We start from the raw sequence: 20,405 nt of genomic DNA, 5'->3' as shown, positions 1-20,405 counted from the left end.
GAAATAATATGTATTTTAAAACAGTATTTAAAGTAAAACATCATCATTAATTCTTTTTTTATCTTTTTATTTTCCTCAGAGACCTTGTTCTGAAATAATTTTTTTCAAGTAAAATTATTTATAATAATTAGTTGATGCTCACTTTGGCTGTTTGGTATGTTTTTATGTTTTTAGCAATATTTGGGAAATTTTATTTTAATTATTGTTGCCATGAAAATATATTAAATTTTCCTTCAGTAAGGATAGAATTTGTTTGTTCAGTTTATACTGTTGTATTATTGAAAATGACATACCTGGAATTTGGAATTTTAAAATTTGGACTTATGATTTTATTTCATTTTGATAATATACTTTGCATTGAGCTAAATGTTCTAAGGGATATAAAGATGAGTAGCATATAAATCTGGCTCTCAAAGGGTGGTTGTATAATCTGTTAAATAGGATTTGACCTCTATATGTTTATTTTCTTTCTCAGCTTTTGTATTTTATGAATTAGTATTGTGAGCTTTTGTTGTAGCCTAAGCAGATGACTTTTCCTGAAGAATTACTGGAAGTGAGTAGTAGCTATATAAAATAGTGATAGAGCTACGTTTTCCACCTTCCTTTTATAAATAAAAGACTTAATGTAGTGATTAGTCATGGATTGGATCTTGGAAATTATCTTAACCCTTCTTTCAACAGATAAGGAGGAGGCCTAACACAGGGTTGCAAGCTCAAAATTCAACAGGGACCTTATGAGTGAGGAGGTCCCAGTTTAACAGTGTAAACCTAGTAATAAATAGCAGCTGTTAGCTGGCCTGAGTTTTAGGGGAGACTGTAGGGATTATGGAAAGTGAGCAGATTAAAGTCCTTCTGCATTTGAAGGAAGAAGCTCCCACGCAGCTATATCCTGTTCTTACTGTGCAGGAATATGGACCGGTTTTGCCTTATCTTTTTATTTTTCAAGAGAATCTAGAATTATAAATAAAGTATAAATGCATATAAGCAAATATGTGAAATCCTCCAATTTTAGTATATTAGTAATAGCTCAGTTTTTACACAAACACTGCATAGGCCAAATAAATACTTTTTGTTTGGGCAGATTGGTTATGCATGTGTGAAGCAAAATGAAAAAAGAGAAGTGATTTGGTTAATTTTGGGGGCTCTGCCTTACTTTTAAGCCTTAGACACATTGTAAACGTTTTAGGATTGGTTATTTCATAGATTTGTTGTACCTCTTCCAAGTATAAGTTCTTTTTTCCTGAAGCCTACCCAAATACTTTTCTCATCAGATTTCCCCTAATTTGAATTTTTAATGGAGACGAAGGGAAATTATAATGGGGCTAGTAGCTCAAAAATTTTTAACGTAATTTGCTTTTTCAAATTTTCAAACTGCTATAATAGGTGAAAAAAATATAGCAGTAATTTTATTGATGTGACCAAAATTTATTTAAATTATGTATATTATTAAAACTATATTTTAAAACAATGGTTAAATTGCAGTAATAAAGCTCTAAGTATCATCAATGCCTCTTCTAATATCACTGTCCGATTAGATCTTGAACAGTTTTTAATTATATTTTAGATTGTTAGAAACGGATAGTAAGTCTTTAAGATCTGTAAATGGGTCAAGAAGAAACAGTGGCTCTTCTCTTGTGTCGAGTTCATCAGCCTCTAGCAACCTCAGTCACCTTGAAGAAGATTCTTGGATTCTTTGGGGAAGAATTGTTAATGAATGGGAAGATGTACGCAAAAAGAAGGAAAAGCAAGTTAAGGTATTCATGTTCTTTGTTGAAGTTCTTATTCTTATTCCATAGTGCGTCAGACATAACTTAATAGAGGATTGGGAAAAAAACCCCAAATACAACTTCCAAGCTATATATTAAAGAGGTCTGCTTTATTTGTTTTCACTTACTTGTACCCCTAAAAGTTTTAATTTGTAGACATCAGTTGTTACAGAGGTCCTGATCATATAGAAATATATAACTGAAAATTATTTTATTTACTTATTATTATTTTATAAAGACTCACTTTGTTGCTCAGGCTGGAGTGCAGTGATGCAGTCATAGCTCACTATAACCTCGAATTTCTGGGCTTAAGCTGTTCTCCTGCCTCAGGCTCCTGAGTAGCTATGATTACAGGTGTGTGTCACCACACCTCGCTAATTTTTTATTTTCCTTTTTGTAGAGATAGGGTCTTGCTTTGTTGCCCAGGCTGGTCTCAAACTCCTGGCCTCAAGCAGTCTTCCTACCTCCGCCTCTCCAAGTGTTGTGAGCTACTACACCCGGCCCGAAAATTGTTTTAGAAATTAAATTCTCTCATTTTATTGATTCAGAAATGAAGTTGTGATATCCTGCATTCTTGAATAACAGTATTTTCCTTTTTTTTTTTTTTTTTGCCTTCAACAGCCCTTTGAATGTTGGGTACTGTACCATCATTCACAGCTCTGCAGGTTTCAAGTCCATTACCTTAAGAGGTCACACACTGAGGTGAAATGATCATTATTAATCCCCTGACCAGAAGAGGATACACCCAGGGCCCAATCTTACCCTTGACTTACAGGGTTCCCTAGTCTTATTATAAAGCTAGCTTTGTGAGTTACAAATTTAATGATGTCTTCTACTTCATTCCAACCCCCTAATAAGTCTTCCTTGGCTTGCAAGATAGGACACTTAAATAATTCATTTTTGTAATTTTATTTTATTTTTAGGAACTTGTTCATAAAGGGATACCCCATCACTTTAGAGCAATAGTTTGGCAACTTTTATGCAGTGCACAAAGTATGCCAATTAAGGATCAGTATTCAGAACTCCTGAAAATGACCTCGCCTTGTGAAAAATTGATCCGAAGGGACATTGCTAGAACTTACCCTGAACACAACTTTTTTAAGGAAAAAGATAGCCTTGGACAGGAGGTTTTATTTAATGTAATGAAGGTAAGTTTTATTTATTCATTTTTTGAAATGAAATGAATTCCTGGAAGGTTGAAATTATACATTTTTCATGATGAAGCATGACCTCCCACCACAATAATCAGTTGCTTTGGCAGTGAAATTGGTTTTAGCATCATTTTTGCCTTAATTCTTATGCTACATTACTATCTAGTATAGAGAACTTGTTAGAACATTTACTACGTTATTTAGCATTAGTTGATGGAAATGGAATAGCTTAAAAGTCACATATCATAGAGGGATCCTCATGAAAAGGAATAATTCACCATCTGTGAAGTTCAAAACCTGGGATGTGGGTTTCTCCTATCATATCTGTGTTCCTACAGTGAGCAAATTTTTCTGCTTTCTATGGCCAGCACTGTTAAGAGCACTTAGCCCTTGAAAGGTGTACCATTGTCATTTTTTCTTCAATATTGCCATTTCCCTTCCCACAGTTACTTTTTCTTTTAGCTACTTCTTTGAAATACTGACTTCTTGTTAAATCATTTCAATTTCGCCAATCCTTTGCCTTAAACCTAGTCTAGTTTTATATACATCAATATAAATTTTACTTGAATTTTTTTTTTTTTTTTTGAGATGGAGTTGCACTCTTTTTGCCCAGGCTGGAGTGCAGCGGTGTGATCTCAGCTCACTGCAACCTCCACCTCCCAGGTTCAAGCAATTCTCCTGCCTCAGCCTCCCTAGTAGCTGGGATTACATGCGCCCGCCACTACGCCCAGCTAATTTTTGTATTTTTAGTAGAGACAGGGTTTCACTATGTTGGCCAGGCTGATCTCGAACTCCTGGCCTCAGGTGATCCGCCTGCCTCTGCCTCCCAAAGTGCTGGGATTATAGGCATGAGCCACTGTGCCCAGCTCAATTTTACTTGATTTTTAAGCCCTGTTACAAATTCCTTTATTTTATTTTATTTTATTTTATTTTATTTTATTTTATTTTATGTCTTTAGAGCTAGCAAGTTTGGATTGGGAAATTGTCAAAATAAAATTTCATGTAATAAAACATTTGCTTTTTAAATATGTATAGGATAACATCTATAACAAGCAAGCAAGAGCTTTTCTCAAAAATAAATGTTTTTTAATCTGTCTGTCTTGCCAATTTTAGGTTTTTTGGAGAAGGAAGGTATAACTTACCATGTATTTTGAACAACTTTTTTTTACTTTTTAGGCTTACTCTTTAGTAGATCGTGAGGTTGGTTACTGTCAAGGAAGTGCTTTTATAGTTGGATTGTTGCTTATGCAGGTAAGTTAATATAAGTATTAAATGTCCAATGAAATTTTTTATTAAGTTGGATTGGAGAGTTTAAAAAGCATCTTTGTTTTATTAAATGTAAGTGGATATGGGTATTTTTTCCTAGGCATAATTTGAATACAAATATTTAGTTTGCATTTTAAAAGATTAAACATGTTAAAATAACATAGTAATATCTTACCACCAAATGAAATTTCAACTTCATGATAGATACATTTTTACTGTAATATTCTACTAAAGCTTGAATCTACAGTAGTTTAAAATCTTATTTGTTAACATTTAATGAAGAGTAATCTTTTTCTAACCAAGGAGGAAATAATTAAAGTGTTGGTAAGAAAATCTTATTTATATTGTACAACATCTTTAGAGATTTATAGAGAATTTAATTTATCATGGAGCTAAAAGCTTGTTATGCATACCTCACTGCATGCCCTAAAATAGTGGTACTCAGCCACTTTTACCCCCTAGGGATATAACTTTGTTATTGAGTGTGCAGTGGGTTTGGGTGGAATGTTTTCAGAATTCGGGGGTAGGATAATCATAGCTTTGAAGGGAAATGGCATATAGTATTATCTCTTCAGCTTTGTTGAAATGTTAAGTCCATCTTACTCTTTATTTAGTCTCAGATTTTAGTCCTGAAAAGGAATCATGGAGATACTTGGTTTGAGTCATATAGGGTGGTTTTGCAACTCAGTTCTGCACATGCTGTATGAATTTAGGCTAGATTATTTAACCTCTCTCTGAGCCTTAGTAAGATAATACTATCTACTTTCAGATTAGTTGTGAGGGTTATTTGAGGTAATGTATGTAGAAGCCTAGCATGGTGTTTGGCTCATAGGAGATAGGCAGTGAAAGTTCAGTGGCTTACCCAAGATCACACATCCTGGTAGATAAAAGCAAAGTAGGAATCAGAAACCGTTTCCTGATGCTTTGCTTCAGCTTCCCAACTGCTTTGAGTTTTAAAGCTCTTGTTGCTGTCAGGAGTATACACTTTTCTAAGTAGAAGAGACCTGATGTCAGAGACACTGATTTATAATAAAAATAATTTTTACTTTGTGTTACAGCATATATAAGAACACATAAGAAGTGCTCCCAGTGGTTATTGATTTCTAAGTGGAATTAGGTTATAAATAATACAATGCAAAACTAGATTTGTTAATGTTAAGGTATAGTTGTTTAACAAAATTATGATTTTCCAGCTTTGCGCAGTGGCAGTATCGTAGCCAGTGAGGTTTATCCGAGGCGCAATTATTGCTAATTGAAATTATGATTTTCCTACTTTATTTAGTATTGGTAGATCCTTCATTATTGAACTCAGACATCCTTATTATCAGTCTAGTGATTTTTGCTGCTGTTCTATTCCTTTTATTTTCCTGTTAGCTCCACAATAACCTTTTAGTAGTCATTTCTCTTGGGCATCTAAAGAGCAGTTTTTCTCTGCTTGAGGTCTGAATCTCTCAACAGCTGACCTAGCTCTCTAGGAATCCTGTGGATCCTGTGAATCCTCTAGGAATCACAGTTTCCTTCAAGACAGGGCAAGCAGTGGTGGTAGAGATATTAACTTCAATAAGTATTATTACCACCATTGGAGTAATAAATAATATTTTGGTGATTGATCTACTTAGCTGTTGTCAGTGGCAGCAGTATATTAACACAAGAACAGTAGTCACTTATGGCCCAGGGCCATAAGGTAGAAAAGCTCCTCTTTTTGTTTCTAAAGTTTATGCCGACACCTTATGCTATATTCTCCCATAACTTCAGTTTAGAAATGTAACTCAGAGAGTCTGATAAAATTTGCAAAATTAGTACATACTTTATCAAAATGGTTAGAAGTATGTATGTTTTGTATATATCTCACTCCTATAATATTAGGTATATTGTCTGCATTAGACCTTTGCAAAAGACATGGATTCTTATCAGCTCAGAGTCACAGAGAAAGTTATGTAGCAGCACATTGCTCTAGGACTCAAGTGTCTTGATTTCTTTCTAATGGAAAGGAATGACTATAAAACAACTTGGTGTATGCCACTCCGTGTCACATTTTTTCATTTTGTCACCATGGTTTCAATTTTTTTGAGAAGGACCTAGTGATACTTTTTCTGTCTCCTTTTCCTCTTTTGTCAAATTACCTCAACTTATTTTTTAAAATGTTGCCATTAAAAAAAATTCTCCTCTAGTTCCCATATCAATGCTATTGCAAAGAGGAGAGGGAATGAAACTTGTTTTGATATGTTCAGAAGAGAAGAAATTGTTGTAAGACAAAAAGGGAAATTATAATTACATACTGCATAATGACATTTTGGTCAACGGTGGACTGCATGTGTGATGGTGCGCCCATAAGATTATAATACCCTATTTTTACTTTGCTTTTTCTATGTTTAGATACACAAACATGTGCCATCATGTTACAGTTGGCCTACAGTATTCAGTACAGTAACATACTATACAGGTTTGTAGCCTAGGAGCAATAGGCTATATAGCATATAGCCTAGGTGTATAGTAAGCTATATGGTATAGGTTTGTGTAGGTGCACTCTATGATGTTCGCACAATGATTAAATCGCCTGAGGACATATACCTCAGTAATCTCTGTCCCCTTCCAGTGCTGTGGGAGAGAAAAGAGAAAACAACTACCTTAGGAGAGAGCCAGGTTTCAGTGTTGAAATATTCTTAGGGGAGATACAGATTTCAGCTAAAGAAAGAGAGGAACATTTGGAAAAGAGATTGAGGATATAGGTAGACTATTCTGTTGATGGTAGGATATGGGTTCCAGAAAATGCTGTGGAAAAGATTTAGGAAAGATTGGAAATGGGGTCAGATTAGGAGAACAGTAAAATCATTTAGGATGAGAGTCCTGGGATTTGGGGCTTCTCGTAGTGACTGACATAATTCAGTGGGGCTGTGGGGCTTGATAGAATTAATAGAGATAGTCTCCTAAGTAGAATTGTGGCCATCTGTGTTGAGAGGAAGGAAGAAGTGCAGGTTTTGCCAAGAGTGACTCTTGGCCCCCTGTCCGTGGCTGTGTCAAGGCCAGGAAAAATGTCTTGTTATTAGCAGCAGTCTTCAGTAAGAAGAAGGCCTGGAGATCCTTTGGGATGTTCTCTTTTGAAACACACTGGTATAACGGGAATGAATGAGAATTAGCAAATTTTATTATTTTGAGAAAGATGGTTTAACAATTTGGATAGTTATTTGCCTAAGTATTCTGAATATCTTTGTAGCTCTTTACAGAGCTTTCACATTCATTATCTTATTTGATATGATTTCCTAGTGATTTACACATAAAATGTGAAATTGGTACCTTTAAACCCCAATTTCAGATAATGTGAAAACTTAATTTATATGTCCTTTTAATACTTGTACCATGTCATATGATTTTTTGCTCAGAATCCTCAAAAATCCCTCTCTCTCACTTAAGGTAAAAGTCGAAATCCTTACAGTGGCCTCTACAGTCCTCTGCATTTTGGTTCCCTGTTATTTCTCCTCCATGATGTAACCTTCACTCATAGTATTCTAATTTAGTAGTTCTCTATTTGCTGTTTCTTGAGCATGCCAAGTGTGATTCCATTTTAGGACCTTTGTACTCTTTGGTCTTCTGGAACTGTTCTTTCCTCAAATGCTCCCTTGCTTTCTTCAGGATTCTGCTTAACTGTTACCGTATCAGGGGACCTTTCCTGATCTATATCAATAGCCGTGTGTCTCCCCAGCATTCCCTACTTTATTTTATTTCTGTAGCATCCATCACCATCTGACATATATATTAGTTGATTTATTCCATGTCTTGTCTGTCTCCCTCCATTAGAAATTCAGGTTCCTTGAGAATAGAGATTGTGTTTATTTTGTTCACTGGTGTATACCCAGAGAGAGAAAAGTATCTGGCTGTAAATCAGTATTTTGGGTTGAATTAATGAATGAGGCAAGTTGAGGCAGTTGGTTTCAGAGGTTGTAAGATTTGTTTAACTTCTCATTCTTGGTGATAGAATGGGAGACTAGAACTTTCTGATTCTTACCTCATTGCTCTTAACATTGCAGCACACAGCCACTCAAACAATGTTTGTGGTTGGCTGTGTACTTAGTTTAAATATCATTGGTTTATTTGTGTATCAGAGAACATTAACCTATGTTGTTTTTTTTTCTTCCAATGTAGATGCCAGAAGAAGAAGCTTTCTGTGTATTTGTTAAATTAATGCAAGATTATAGACTTCGTGAACTTTTTAAACCAAGTATGGCAGAATTGGGCCTTTGTATGTACCAGTTTGAATGTATGATACAGGTAAAAGTGCAGTGTTGATAAAAAGGCATATTGCCTTTATATTTTTTATATCTTGTTCTGAGTGCCAACTAAGCAAATTTAATGTTAAAAGCATTAAAGCACTTGAAGAAGTAAGTGTTTTAATTACATGATTGTTTTTTGGTTGGTTAATGTACAATTTGACCCTTCAAATTAGGTAGATCACAGTCTAGGACTTGACTCCAGTTTTCATATTCAATCCTTAAGCATTTCTGCCAAATGTACTATACACCCCTTACCTAAGCACATGAATTTCCTTATTATATCCTATTATTGTTACGTAGTCTAAGCTCTCTTACAGGAGCTTTATGATATTACACTGACATCAGTCCATTTACTTGGAGACTGTCTCTTTGAGTCCTCTCCTCTGCCTTTTTACTTTTATTTTATTTTTATTTTTTGCTAGCCCGTAATTTTTTTTCCTGTAATGTTTTCTTATGTTGCTAGTTTAAGACTCAAGTTATCTAGTGACTGTATGAAGGTGGAGAGAATAGGAGCAGAATCAAAATCAAGGGAAAAATACCTTTGAAGTATTTTACCTTTCTGGATTTAATTTTTATATTTTATATATTTAAGTTTGCTATAATGTAAATATTTTCATTTATTTCAATTTCAATTTCAATTAAATGAGCAGAATTTAAGAAAATAGGTGAATGAATCAGCTGGCATGAGAGCCATTTTTATTAGTTTCCTCTCTCCTGGCAGCCTTATAAACTCCAGTTTTTCCCATCTGTGGTGGGAGCAAGGGGATATGTAAAATGTTCTTATATTTTATTTTTTATTTATTCATTTATTTATTTTTGAGATGGAGTCTCGCTCTGTGGCCCAGGCTGGAGTGCAGTGGCGTGGTGTCGGCTCACTGCAAGCTCCGCCTCCTGGGTTCATGCCATTCTCCTGCCTCAGTCTCCCAAGTAGCTGGGACTACAGGTGCCTGCCACCACGCCCAGCTAATTTTTTGTATTTTTTTAGTAGAGATGGGGTTTCACCATGTTAGCCAGGATGGTCTCGATCTCCTGACCTCATGAACCGCCCGCCTTGGCCTTCCAAAGTGCTGGGATCACAGGCGTGAGCCACCGCTGTGCCTGGCTAATTTTTTAATTGACATACAATAGTTGTACATTATGGGGTACATATTTTTTGTTTTTATATATTTTAAAGAAAAAGCCAGAATAGGTTTTGAGATGATTTTTTTTTTTTTCCTGAGACAGAGTCTATCTAGCTCTGTTGTCCAGGCTGAAGTACAATGACACAATCACAGTTCACTGCCGCCTTGACCTCCTGGGTTCAAGCCATCCTCCTCCCTCAGCCTCCTGGATAGCTGAAACTACAGGTGTATACCACTGCACCTGAATAGTTTTTTATCTATTTTGATTTTTTATTTTTTAATTTTTGTAGAGACAGGGTTTCACTCTGTTGTCCAGGTTGGTGTTGAACTCCTGAGCTCAAGTGATCTTCCTATCTCAGCCTCCCAAAGTGCTGGGATTACAGGCATGAGCCACTGTGCCTGGACTTGAGATGATTCTTAATTAATTCTTTTCTGAAATAGTAAGCTTGTTTTTAGCAGCCTTAAACTCTCTTAATGTTATATTTTCAATTAATGTGTCATTTATGGCTGGACGCAGTGGCCCATGTTTGTAATCCCAGCACTTTAGGAGGCTGAGGTGGACAGGTCACTTGAGCCCAGGAGTTTGAGACCAGCCTGGGCAACATGGCAAAACCTTGCCTCTACTAAAAATAAAAAAAATTGGCTGGGCATGGTGGTGTGCACCTGTAGTACCAGCTGCCTGGGAGGCTGAGATGGGAGGATTGCTTGAGCTTGGGAGGCAGAGGTTGCAGTGAGCCAAGATCACACCACTGTACCCTAGCCTGGGTGACAGAGTGAGACCCCATCTCAAAAAAAAAAAAAAGTCTCATTTATGTTTTGAATTACTAGAGTTGCTGAAACATCTGTATTTTGAATATTTTTCCTATTCTTTAGGAAGGTAAGAATGGGTGATCAGTGGTAGATAGTGCCTGAAAGTATTTTAACATACCATTTATTTTCTTTTTAAACGTCTTTTTAAAATATTATAGTTGATAGAAGAGTATAGAAAATGTCAGTCACTCTTGTATCCACCAACAGGATTAAACAAATATAAAACTTTTATTCAGTTTCTTTTTATTAATAAATTAAATGTTATACTCAAAATTCCAACTTCACATTCTTTCCCCCTTCTTTCTTTCCTAGATACTAGCCACTGTCCCAGATGTTTCAATGTCTATGTCTTACCTTTTCCATATGATGCTTGATCTAATCTGTGTTTGGTATAGGCTAATCTAGTATAAATATAATCTAATTTAAAATACTCAGTTTTACTGTGTTATAACTAATTATTTTCTTCTCTTTAGGAGCATCTTCCAGAGCTCTTTGTACATTTTCAATCTCAGAGTTTTCATACCTCAATGTATGCATCATCCTGGTTTCTGACTATCTTTCTTACAACTTTTCCACTACCAATTGCAACAAGGATATTTGATATCTTTATGTCTGAGGTAAGCTAATGGGCAGACAAAGAGCAGGAGCTGAGCAAAGGGGTCACTGAGTTAGTGAGAGCAGGGCAATGAGGAGAGCAATGAAGGAAAGCCATGTGTCCCATGCAAAACTGCTTACATGGATAATCTCATTTAAACCTTATAATAACCCTATCAGGTAGATACTGTTTTTATTGCATTTGTTAGATGATAGATGAGGAAGTTGAGACTTAGAGAAAGGTTAAGTAGCTTGTCTATGGACACACAATACATAAGTGGTGTTGTAACCAGGATTCAAACATAGGCAGTTTGGAGCCTACACTGTTAATCATACCTCTTTATCACCTCCTAACTCATACAGTGAAAGTTAGTGAGAGGTAAAATTTGTCTTACAGTTAATATTGTTGAAATGCATCTGTCATCCAAAGAGTAAGAAGTAATAAGCATGTTTCTTCTATGAACACATTGCAGGTTGTTGTCCTTTTGTCAGTAGCACATAGAGGTAATCCTTTGTTTTCTAGTCTGTGAACTCAATGTTGTTATTAATTACATCTTGGGAAAATCAATTTGTATTACCTATCTAAATTAGTTCAGATCACAGTTGGTCAGCTGTGATTCATGTACCAATCAGATGGACAGATTTTTGTGCGAAATCCATTCTTCCACACCTGTTTTTTATAAAGTTTTCCTAGAACACAACCCTGCCCATTTATTTATATGTCGTGTATGTCTGCTTTAGGGTTGTAGTGGCAGAACTGAGTAATTTTGACAGACAATATAGCCCACCAAACCTAAAATACTTGCTTTCTGACTCTTGACAGAAAATGTTTGCCAGCCCCTAGTTTAGATCCCTAAATGTTTACCTTAGTATTATTTCAAATGACTCGTTTTTGTTGATGGAAGAGTAACATAAATTTGGATTTATTTAATTTGTTTCCTCAGGGTTTAGAAATAGTGTTTCGTGTAGGATTAGCACTTCTTCAGATGAATCAGGCAGAACTGATGCAACTTGACATGGAAGGGATGTTACAGGTAAGTTCATAATTTATTTTCTTTTTTTTTTTTTGAGACAGAGTTTAGTTCTGTTGCCCAGGCTGGAGTGCAGTGGCGTGATCTTGGCTCACTGCAACCTCTGCCTCCCAGGTTCAAGTGATCCTCCTACCGCTTCAGCCTTCTGTGTAGCTGGAATTACAAGCATGCACCACTACACCTGGCTAAGTTTTGTATTTTTAGTAGAAACAGGGTTTCATCATGTTGGCCAGGCTGGTCTTGAACTCCTGACCTGAAGTGATCCGCCTGCCTTGGCCTCCCAAAATGCTGAGATTACAAGCATGAGCCACCACGCCCAGCCCATAATTTCTTGAATGTCTTTGGATTTCACTATTAACAGCACTAAGTCATTCTTATGTTTTTTTTTTAATTGTATCTTAGCACTTTCAAAAGGTCATTCCACATCAGTTTGATGGTGTCCCAGACAAGCTAATCCAAGCAGCTTACCAAGTCAAATACAATTCAAAAAAAATGAAAAAGTAAGTATTTTATATTTTTGTTGGAAATTCAGTGGAAGTTGCAAAACATTCTAGTGATACAGTTTTCCTCCTTAGGTTATAGAACTATATTATTTTCTTCGGTGGTATTGGTTTCAATATAGCATAAAGCTAATGTTGGAATATACTGCTTTTAACAGTGGTGCATGGGACTAGCATGTACTACCTTTAAAACTTTCCTCCTTTTCCACGTTGACTAGAATTAGGAGCCTGGAATGGATATACATATATGAGGATGCTGTTATTTTTAAAACCACTTTTCTGGTGTGGTCCCATTCATTGACATTCTTTTCCTCTTAGTTTGACCCCACAGTGTCACTTAAGTTCAAAATTAGCATAACCAGCAAGATAGACATGAGGTATGGATTGAGAACTTAAAATTTTATTTATTTATTTTAGAGACAGGCTTTTGCTCTGTCACCCAGGCTGGAGTACAGTGGTGTGATTATGGCTGCTCACTGTAGCCTTGAAATCCTAGGCTCAAGTGATCCTCCCACATCAGCTTCCTGAGTACAGGAAGTACCCTGTCTCTACTAAAGCACAGGTGTACTACAGGCGCACACCACCATGCCTGGCTAATTTTAAAATTTGTTTTGTAGAGACAGAGTGTCACTATGTTGCCCAGGCTGGTCTCGAACCCCTGGGCTCAAGTGATCCTCCCACCTCAGCCTCCTAAAATGTTGGGATTACAGGTGTGAGCCGCTGCACCTGGTCAAATCTTATTTTTTGTACTACTTTCTAATGAAGCTTTTTTTGGCATTCATGTCCTAAAAGTTCAAAATAAAGTCTCTGCTCATTAGTTTTATTTTTGAAACAGATTAAGTGTATTAATTAAAATAATAGCTGTGATTTCTCTAGCTTCCAGTACTTAATTCTTAGCCTGCGGTCATAGTTAGCATTTCTGATACTGTACTTTCTATGGTATAAAATGCTTTAAAATGATAACAGTACTGTATGCTAGCAGTTAGCAGTTTTTCTGCTGCAATATGAAATTACATTAACATGTACAACATACTACTCCCATGGATATTCCTACTCCACAAAGTATATTTAAATATGAGTGAGAATTAATGTTATTAAAATTAGTTAGCTTTTCCATGCACAATGATGTGTACCTGTAGTCCCAGCTACTCCGGAGGCTGAGGCAGGAGGATTGCTTGAGCTCAGGAGTTCACAATCAGCCTAGGTAACATAGTGATACCTTATCTCTTTTAAAAAAATTAAAAAGTTAGCTCTAATTGACAAAAGCAAGCCAAGCCGATTTTTGAGCTTCAGCTTTTATTAAGTTACTTGTGATGTTTTAAATAACCACCATCATGTTGATACGTTTTAAATAACTACCATGTGTGGAGACATCATATAGACAAAAAGCCGCTGTGCCTTGTAACTGATAAAAACAAATTATCTCAATTTTTGTCACTTGGTAAAACCACATTGAACTCACACTAGCCAGGCAGAGAATTTATTTGACTTTAAAAGTCTGATAGAGAATGAGGTTCCTTAACCTTCTTGGTAACTAATTCTCCTTGCATAGATCTTGTCATATGTACAATCCATTTCTGAAATTTCAATTAATCCTGTTTACTTATCAGATTTCTGGCCCTCTATTTCTTTCACTTCCTTATTCGTGCTCTCCCCATTCTGCTTTATCAAGATCTCTAGATTGAGGTTTAAAAGCCTTCTTCTGATATGAACAACTGTGCTTCCTCTGCCCTTTTGTTTCCTGTATTCATGTATCCAATTGTTATTGCATAGTTACTGAGATTGCTGACAGTAAATTATGTTTCCAGTGGCCTTCCATGTATATTTATATTGACTTTGATTAATTATCTCATTCCTCACAGTGGTTACTTCAAACCTTACCATTCTTCCCAAACTCCCATCCCCTTTTTGCTATATGTAACTCTCACCAGATTACCTTATTCCTAATTCAGCAGTCATTTCCAAACTTCCTAAACTTGCTGTCTTCCAGCTTGTAGACTTAGCTATGTTCTTTTTCTTCTCTTTTTAGAATACAGTATTTTTTTTTCCTTTATAATGCTAATTCAGAATACGTGATGTTACTCATTTCCATCTCTTCCAGGTCTTTGCTCCATTAATTATTCCTTCTCTATCTTCAACCTCTCTCTCTGTTGTTTCATTTTCTTCAATCTAAGAAGATAATTTTGAGTTCTGACTTAGAAGCAACAAAACAAAACCTTCCTCAACATAGCATTTCATTTTCCTTTTATGAAGCTTAGCTGTGAAGGAAAGAATAGATTTTACTCATTAGCTACAGATCACATTCTATTTGCTTTTTTTCACTTGGGAAAATTTTCAGACATAACAAAAATAGAATAATAAATATCCATTGCTTATTGTCTGTATTTAACAACTGTTAATATTTTGTCATATTTATTTTTTTCAAAGTATTTCAAAGTAAATATTGTTAATATTTTGTCATATTTATTTTTTTCAAAGTAAAGCTCAGAAATTGTGACACTTCACTCTTTAATACATCAGTATTCATGTCCATAAAGTAATTTGCCTCATTTACCACATTGCTTCCACCACTTAACAGTAGTTCCATAATACTGCCTAATACTCAGTCTATGTTCACATTTCCTCAGTTGTGCCAAAAATGTCTTTGCCATTGATTTCATTGTATTCAGTTGTTCACTTACATTTTTAAAAATTTAGATCAGCACCACCTATTCCAATCTTCTTTTTTAATATATTGGCTTGTTGAAGAGACCAAGTCAGTTATACCGAGAATATCCAACCTGAAGGATTCATCTGATTATTTCCTTGTTATCTCATTTAACTTCTGTATCTCTTGTGTTTTCTATAAACTGGGAGCTAATGTGAAGACTTAATCTAATTAAGTGCAAACATTTCTGACAAGAATACTTAATAGGTGATACCATGTACTTTATTCATCTTAAAAGATGCATAATGTCTGTCTCACTGTTATTAGAGATGCCATGATTGGTGACTAGGTTAAGGTAATGACAGATTTCTTTATTATGAGGTTATGTTTTCCCTCTTGGCACCCAGTAAGTACTTTGTAAGTTGATACTTTGGCATTGTAAGAATATCCAGTTCATTATGACCTTCCACCTCTTGGCTCAGTCTGCTCAAAAGTTATTATTGAGGGCCAGGCACAGTGGCTCACACCTATAATCCCAGTACTTTGGGAGGCCGAGGTAGGCAGATCACTTGAGGCCAGGAATTCAAGACCAGCCTGGGCAACGTGGTGAAATCCTGACTGTATAGAAAAAAAAAAGACCAAAAATTAGCCAGGTATGGTGGTGTACACCTTTAGTTCCAGCTACTCAAGATACTAAGTTGGGAGAATCACTTGAGAAGTCTAGGATGCAGTGAACTGTGATTGCGTCACTGTACTTCAGCCTTGGCAATAGAGTGAGACCCTGTCTCCAAAAAAAAAAAAAAAGTATCATTGGGGATACTTTTCATGTTAAATTATTTCATTTAGGATAACAAAAGCATGATTTTAAAAATGTTATTCTTCTTACATTTATCAGTCAGCTTTCTTCATAACCTTTTCTTCTTTAACTGCAGCTAACTTCATTCTACTGGAAACACATATAAACACTTCATTATTTCAGCCAGGCGTGGTGGCTCACACCCACAATACCAGCACTTTGGGAGGCCCAGGCAAGAGGATTGCTTGAGCCTGGGAGTTTGAGACCAGCCTGGGCAACATAGCGAGACCCCATCTCTGCAATAAATAAAATAAGCTAACCAGGTGCCTGTAGTCCTGGCTTTTCCATAGGCTGAGGTGGGAAGATTGCTTGAGTCTGGAGTTGGAGGCTGCAGTGAGCTGTGATCACAGCACTGCACTCCAGCCTGGGTGACAGAGTGAGACCCTCTCTCTTAAACAAAACAAAACAACTTTATTATTCCCTTTAATTACCAATTTCCAGAGAAAAGAGTTAGTGGGAATGGTGTTCTTTTAAATTAGTCTATTCTTTTGCAGGTGGCATTATTAACGAATTACAGCCTATATTCAGAATGTTTTAAGGTTGCAAAGTAAGCTGTGTTCAACATCACAAAATTTTGCCAAAGTGACACTAATCTATAGTCTAACCCGGCAGTGTAAGAGTTCTTATTGTGGCCACGTGCAGTGGTTTAACATCTGTAGTCCTTTCACTTCAGGAGGCTGAGGCAGGCAGATTGTTTGAGCCTAGGAGTTTGAGACCAGCCCAGGCAACATGGTGAAACTTTGTCTCTACAAAAAAATAGAAAAATTAGCTGGATGTGGTGGCGCCAGCACACCTGTGGTCCCAGCTACTCAAGAAGCCAAGGTGGGAGGATCACTTGAGCCTGGGCGGTCCTGGCTGCAGTGATCCATGATTGTGCCACTACACTCCAGCCTGAGTGACAGAGTGAGACCCTGTCTAAAAAAAAAGTCTCATTGTTCTACTTTGTCATCAGTGCTTGGTTATTCTTAATTTTTGCCAATCTACTTAATTTTTACCAGTAGCAGGGGGCATTATTAAGGACTTACAGGTTTATATTCAGAATGTTTTAAGGTTGCAAAGTAAGCTGTGTTCAGCATCACAGAATTTTGCCAAAGTGACACTAATTTGTAGTCTAACCCAGCAGTGTATGTGTTCTCATTGTGGCCAGTATAAAATGTCTCATTTTCCACTTAATTTACATTTCCTTGATTGTTAATAAGACTAAGCATCTTTTCATATGTTTATTGGCCTCATGTTTTTCTTCTATTTTTTTCCTCCCTTTTTTACTGCAGTGTCTACTTCATACTGCTTTGACTTGTTAGTGGTTACTAGTTGTTTATGATCTGGGTTGTAATCTTTTGTCAGCATTAAAAGATAAGTCTTGTCCATTTCTACTAAGTATCAGTTTTGGAATATATAATAAACTCAACAATTGGACCTACCTCTCAAAAATGCTCAAGCTTCCTGTTGGTTGGAGGGTAGCAGCACAGAAAAGTAAATGGCTTGTTAGATGCAAATATGTAACAGATTATTAAAATTATATGTTAGAGATACCTAACCCGTATGTCTTCAGACTGGCATACACAGACTGCTGGGTGTCAGGAAAATGTTCAGAGCTTGGTTAAGTAGACTTTCAATTTCTATCTATAGTCTTTCCTACAATTTATCTTTCTGATAACATTTCTGTAGTAGAGGTGCCTCGGTTCTTCTTCGCACCTTCCTTTTTACAGCATGCCTTCTCCCACTTTATTAAAGGAAGGAAGGAAAACCTGTCACCCAACCTAGATCTTACTATGGTACCTTACTTTAGTTTATAAAAAATCTCTGTGGCTCCAAACAAAATGAACAATTTCAGAATGACTTGCTCCTGAGGGAGTATCCCCTGAGAGAGCATCCCCTGAGAGAGCAAAGCAAGAAAAATGGAAGTTTTCTTTATTATTATTATTATACTTTAAGTTCTAGGGTACATGTGCACAACGTACAGGTTTTGTTCAGCTCCCACCTATGAGTGAGAGCATGCGGTGTTTGGTTTTCTGTCCTTGTGATAGTTTGTGTAGAATCATGGTTTCCAGCTTCATCCATGTCCCTGCAAAGGACATGAACCCATCCTTTTTTATGGATGCATAGTATTCCATGGTGTATATGCGCCACATTTTCTTAATCCAGTCTATCATTGATGGACATTTGGGTTGGTTCCAAGTCTTTGCTATTGTAAATAGTGCCGCAATAAATATACATGTGCATGTGTCTTTATAATAGCATAATTTATAATCCTTTGGGTATATACCCAGTAATGGGATTGCTGGATCAAATGGTATTTCTAGTTCTAGATCCTTGAGGAATTGCCACACTGCCTTCCACAATGGTTGAACTAATTTACACTCCCACCAACAGTGTAAGCGTTCCTATTTCTTCACATCCTCTCCAGCATCTGTTGTTTCCTGACTTTTTAATGATCACCATCTAACTGGCATGAGATGGTATCTCATTGTGGTTTTGATTTGCATTCTGTGATGACCAGTGGTGATGAGCATTTTATCACATGTCTGTTGGCTGCATAAATGTCTTCTTTTGAGAAGTATTTGTTCATATCCTTGGCCCACTTTTTGATGGAGTTGTCTTTTTCTTGTAAATTTGTTTAAGTTCTTTGTAGATGCTGGATATTAGCCCTTTGTCAGATGGGTAGATTGCAAAGATTTTCTCCCATTCTTTAGGTTGCCTGTTCACTCTGGTGATAGTTTCTTCTGCTGTGCAGAAGCTCTTTAGTTTAATTAGATCCCATTTGTCAATTTTGGCTTTTGTTGCCATTGCTTTTGGTGTTTTAGTCATGAAGTCTTTGCCCATGCCTATGTCCTGAATGGTACTGCCTAGGTTTTCTTCTAGGGTTTTTATGGTTTTAGGTCTAACATTTAAGTCTTTAATCCATCTTGAATTAATTTTTGTATAAGGTGTGAGGAAGGGATCCAGTTTCAGCTTTCTACATATAGCTAGCCAGTTTTCCCAGCATCATTTATTAAATAGGGAATCTTTTTCCCATTTTTTGTTTTTGTCAGGTTTGTCAAAGAGCAGATGGTTGTAGATGTGTGGTGTTATTTCTGAGGCCTCTGTTCTGTTCCATTGGTCTATATATCTGTTTTGGTACCAGTACCATGCTGTTTTGGTTACTGTAGCCTTGTAGTATAGTTTGAAGTCAGGTAGCGTGATGCCTCCAGCTTTGTTCTTTTTGCTTAGGATTGTTTCGGCAATGTGGGCTCTTTTTTGGTTCCATATGAACTTTAAAGTAGTTTTTTCTAATTCTGTGAAGAAAACCAGTGGTAGCTTGATGGGGATGGCATTTAATCTATAAATTACCTTGGGCAGTATGGCCATTTTCATGATATTGATTCTTCCAATCCATGAGCATGGAATGTTCTTCCGTTTGTTTGTGTCCTCTTATTTCATTGAGCAGTGATTTGTAGTTCTCCTTGAAGAGGTCCTTCACATCCCTTGTAAGTTGTATTCCCAGGTATTTTATTCTCTTTGTAGTAATTGTGAATGGGAGTTCACTCATGATTTGGCTGTTTGTCTATTATTGGTGTATAGAAATACTTGTGATTTTTGCACATTGATTTTGTATCCTGAGACTTTGCTGAAGTTGTTTATCAGCTTAAGGAGATTTTGCACTGAGATGATGGGGTTTTCTAAATATCCAACCATGTCATCTGCAAACAGGGACAATTTGACTTCCTCTTTTCCTAACTGAATACCCTGTATTTCTTTCTCTTGCCTGATTGCCCTGGCCAGAACTTCCAACACTATGTTGAATAGGAGTGGTGAGAGAGGGCATCCTTGCCTTGTGCAGGTTTTCAAAGGGAATGCTTCCAGCTTTTGCCCATTCAGTATGATATTGGCTATGGGTTTGTCATAAATAGCTCATTATTTTGAGATACGTTCCATCAATACCTAGTTTATTGAGAGTTTTTAGCATGAAGGCTGTTGACTTTTGTCAAAGGCCTTTTCTGCATCTATTGAGATAATCATGTGGTTTTTGTCGTTGGTTCTGTTTACGTGGTGGATTATGTTTATTGATTTTCGTATGTTGAAGCAGCCTTGCATCCCAGGGATGAAGCCAACTTGATCATGGTGGATAAGCTTTTTGATGTGCTGCTGTATTCGGTTTGCCAATATTTTATTGAGGATTTTCACATCAGTGTTCATCGGGGTATTGGCCTAAAATTCTCTTTTTTTGTTGTGTCTCTACCAGGCTTTGGTATCAGGATGATGCTAGCCTCATAAAATGAGCTAAGGTGGATTCCCTCTTTTTCTGTTGATTGAAATGGTTTCGGAAGGAATGGTGCAAGCTCCTTTTTGTACCTCTGGAAGAATTTGACTGTGAATCCATCAGGTCCTGGACTTTTTTTGGTTGGTAGGCTGTTG

At 36.5% G+C, this 20,405-nt stretch overlaps 1 protein-coding gene and 1 pseudogene across 28 annotated transcripts in view, besides 1 other annotated feature; both read left to right on the top strand.

Moving 5' to 3' along the window:
• Positions 1–20,405, top strand: part of EVI5 (ecotropic viral integration site 5) — a 283,715-nt gene that overhangs the window by 86,102 nt on the left and 177,208 nt on the right. For 15 of the 28 annotated variants that reach the window (NM_005665.6, NM_001308248.2, NM_001377212.1 and 12 more), the window contains 7 exons: positions 1,565–1,754; positions 2,690–2,914; positions 4,094–4,168; positions 8,324–8,449; positions 10,856–10,999; positions 11,921–12,010; positions 12,410–12,507. In NM_005665.6, coding sequence (NP_005656.4) covers positions 1,565–1,754; positions 2,690–2,914; positions 4,094–4,168; positions 8,324–8,449; positions 10,856–10,999; positions 11,921–12,010; positions 12,410–12,507 — 948 coding nt within the window. The other 13 variants (XR_001737401.2, NM_001377213.1, XM_024449689.2 and 10 more) reach the window with 2 other exon arrangements.
• RNU4-59P (RNA, U4 small nuclear 59, pseudogene) lies at positions 5,375–5,490 on the top strand (annotated as a pseudogene).
• Positions 13,112–13,613: an enhancer, noted in NCBI's record as "H3K27ac hESC enhancer chr1:93158253-93158754 (GRCh37/hg19 assembly coordinates)". NCBI's record gives its function as "activates a minimal SCP1, AML or CMV promoter by ChIP-STARR-seq in naive H9 embryonic stem cells {active_cell/tissue: H9 hESC(naive)}" and the evidence as "EXISTENCE:reporter gene assay evidence [ECO:0000049][PMID:30033119]".

The sequence above is a fragment of the Homo sapiens genome, chromosome 1 (genome assembly GCF_000001405.40).
Source record: "Homo sapiens chromosome 1, GRCh38.p14 Primary Assembly".
Taxonomy (NCBI): Eukaryota; Metazoa; Chordata; class Mammalia; order Primates; family Hominidae; genus Homo; species Homo sapiens.
The sequence above is the reverse complement of the archived record's forward strand: the minus strand, read 5'-3'. Positions and strand labels throughout refer to the sequence as shown.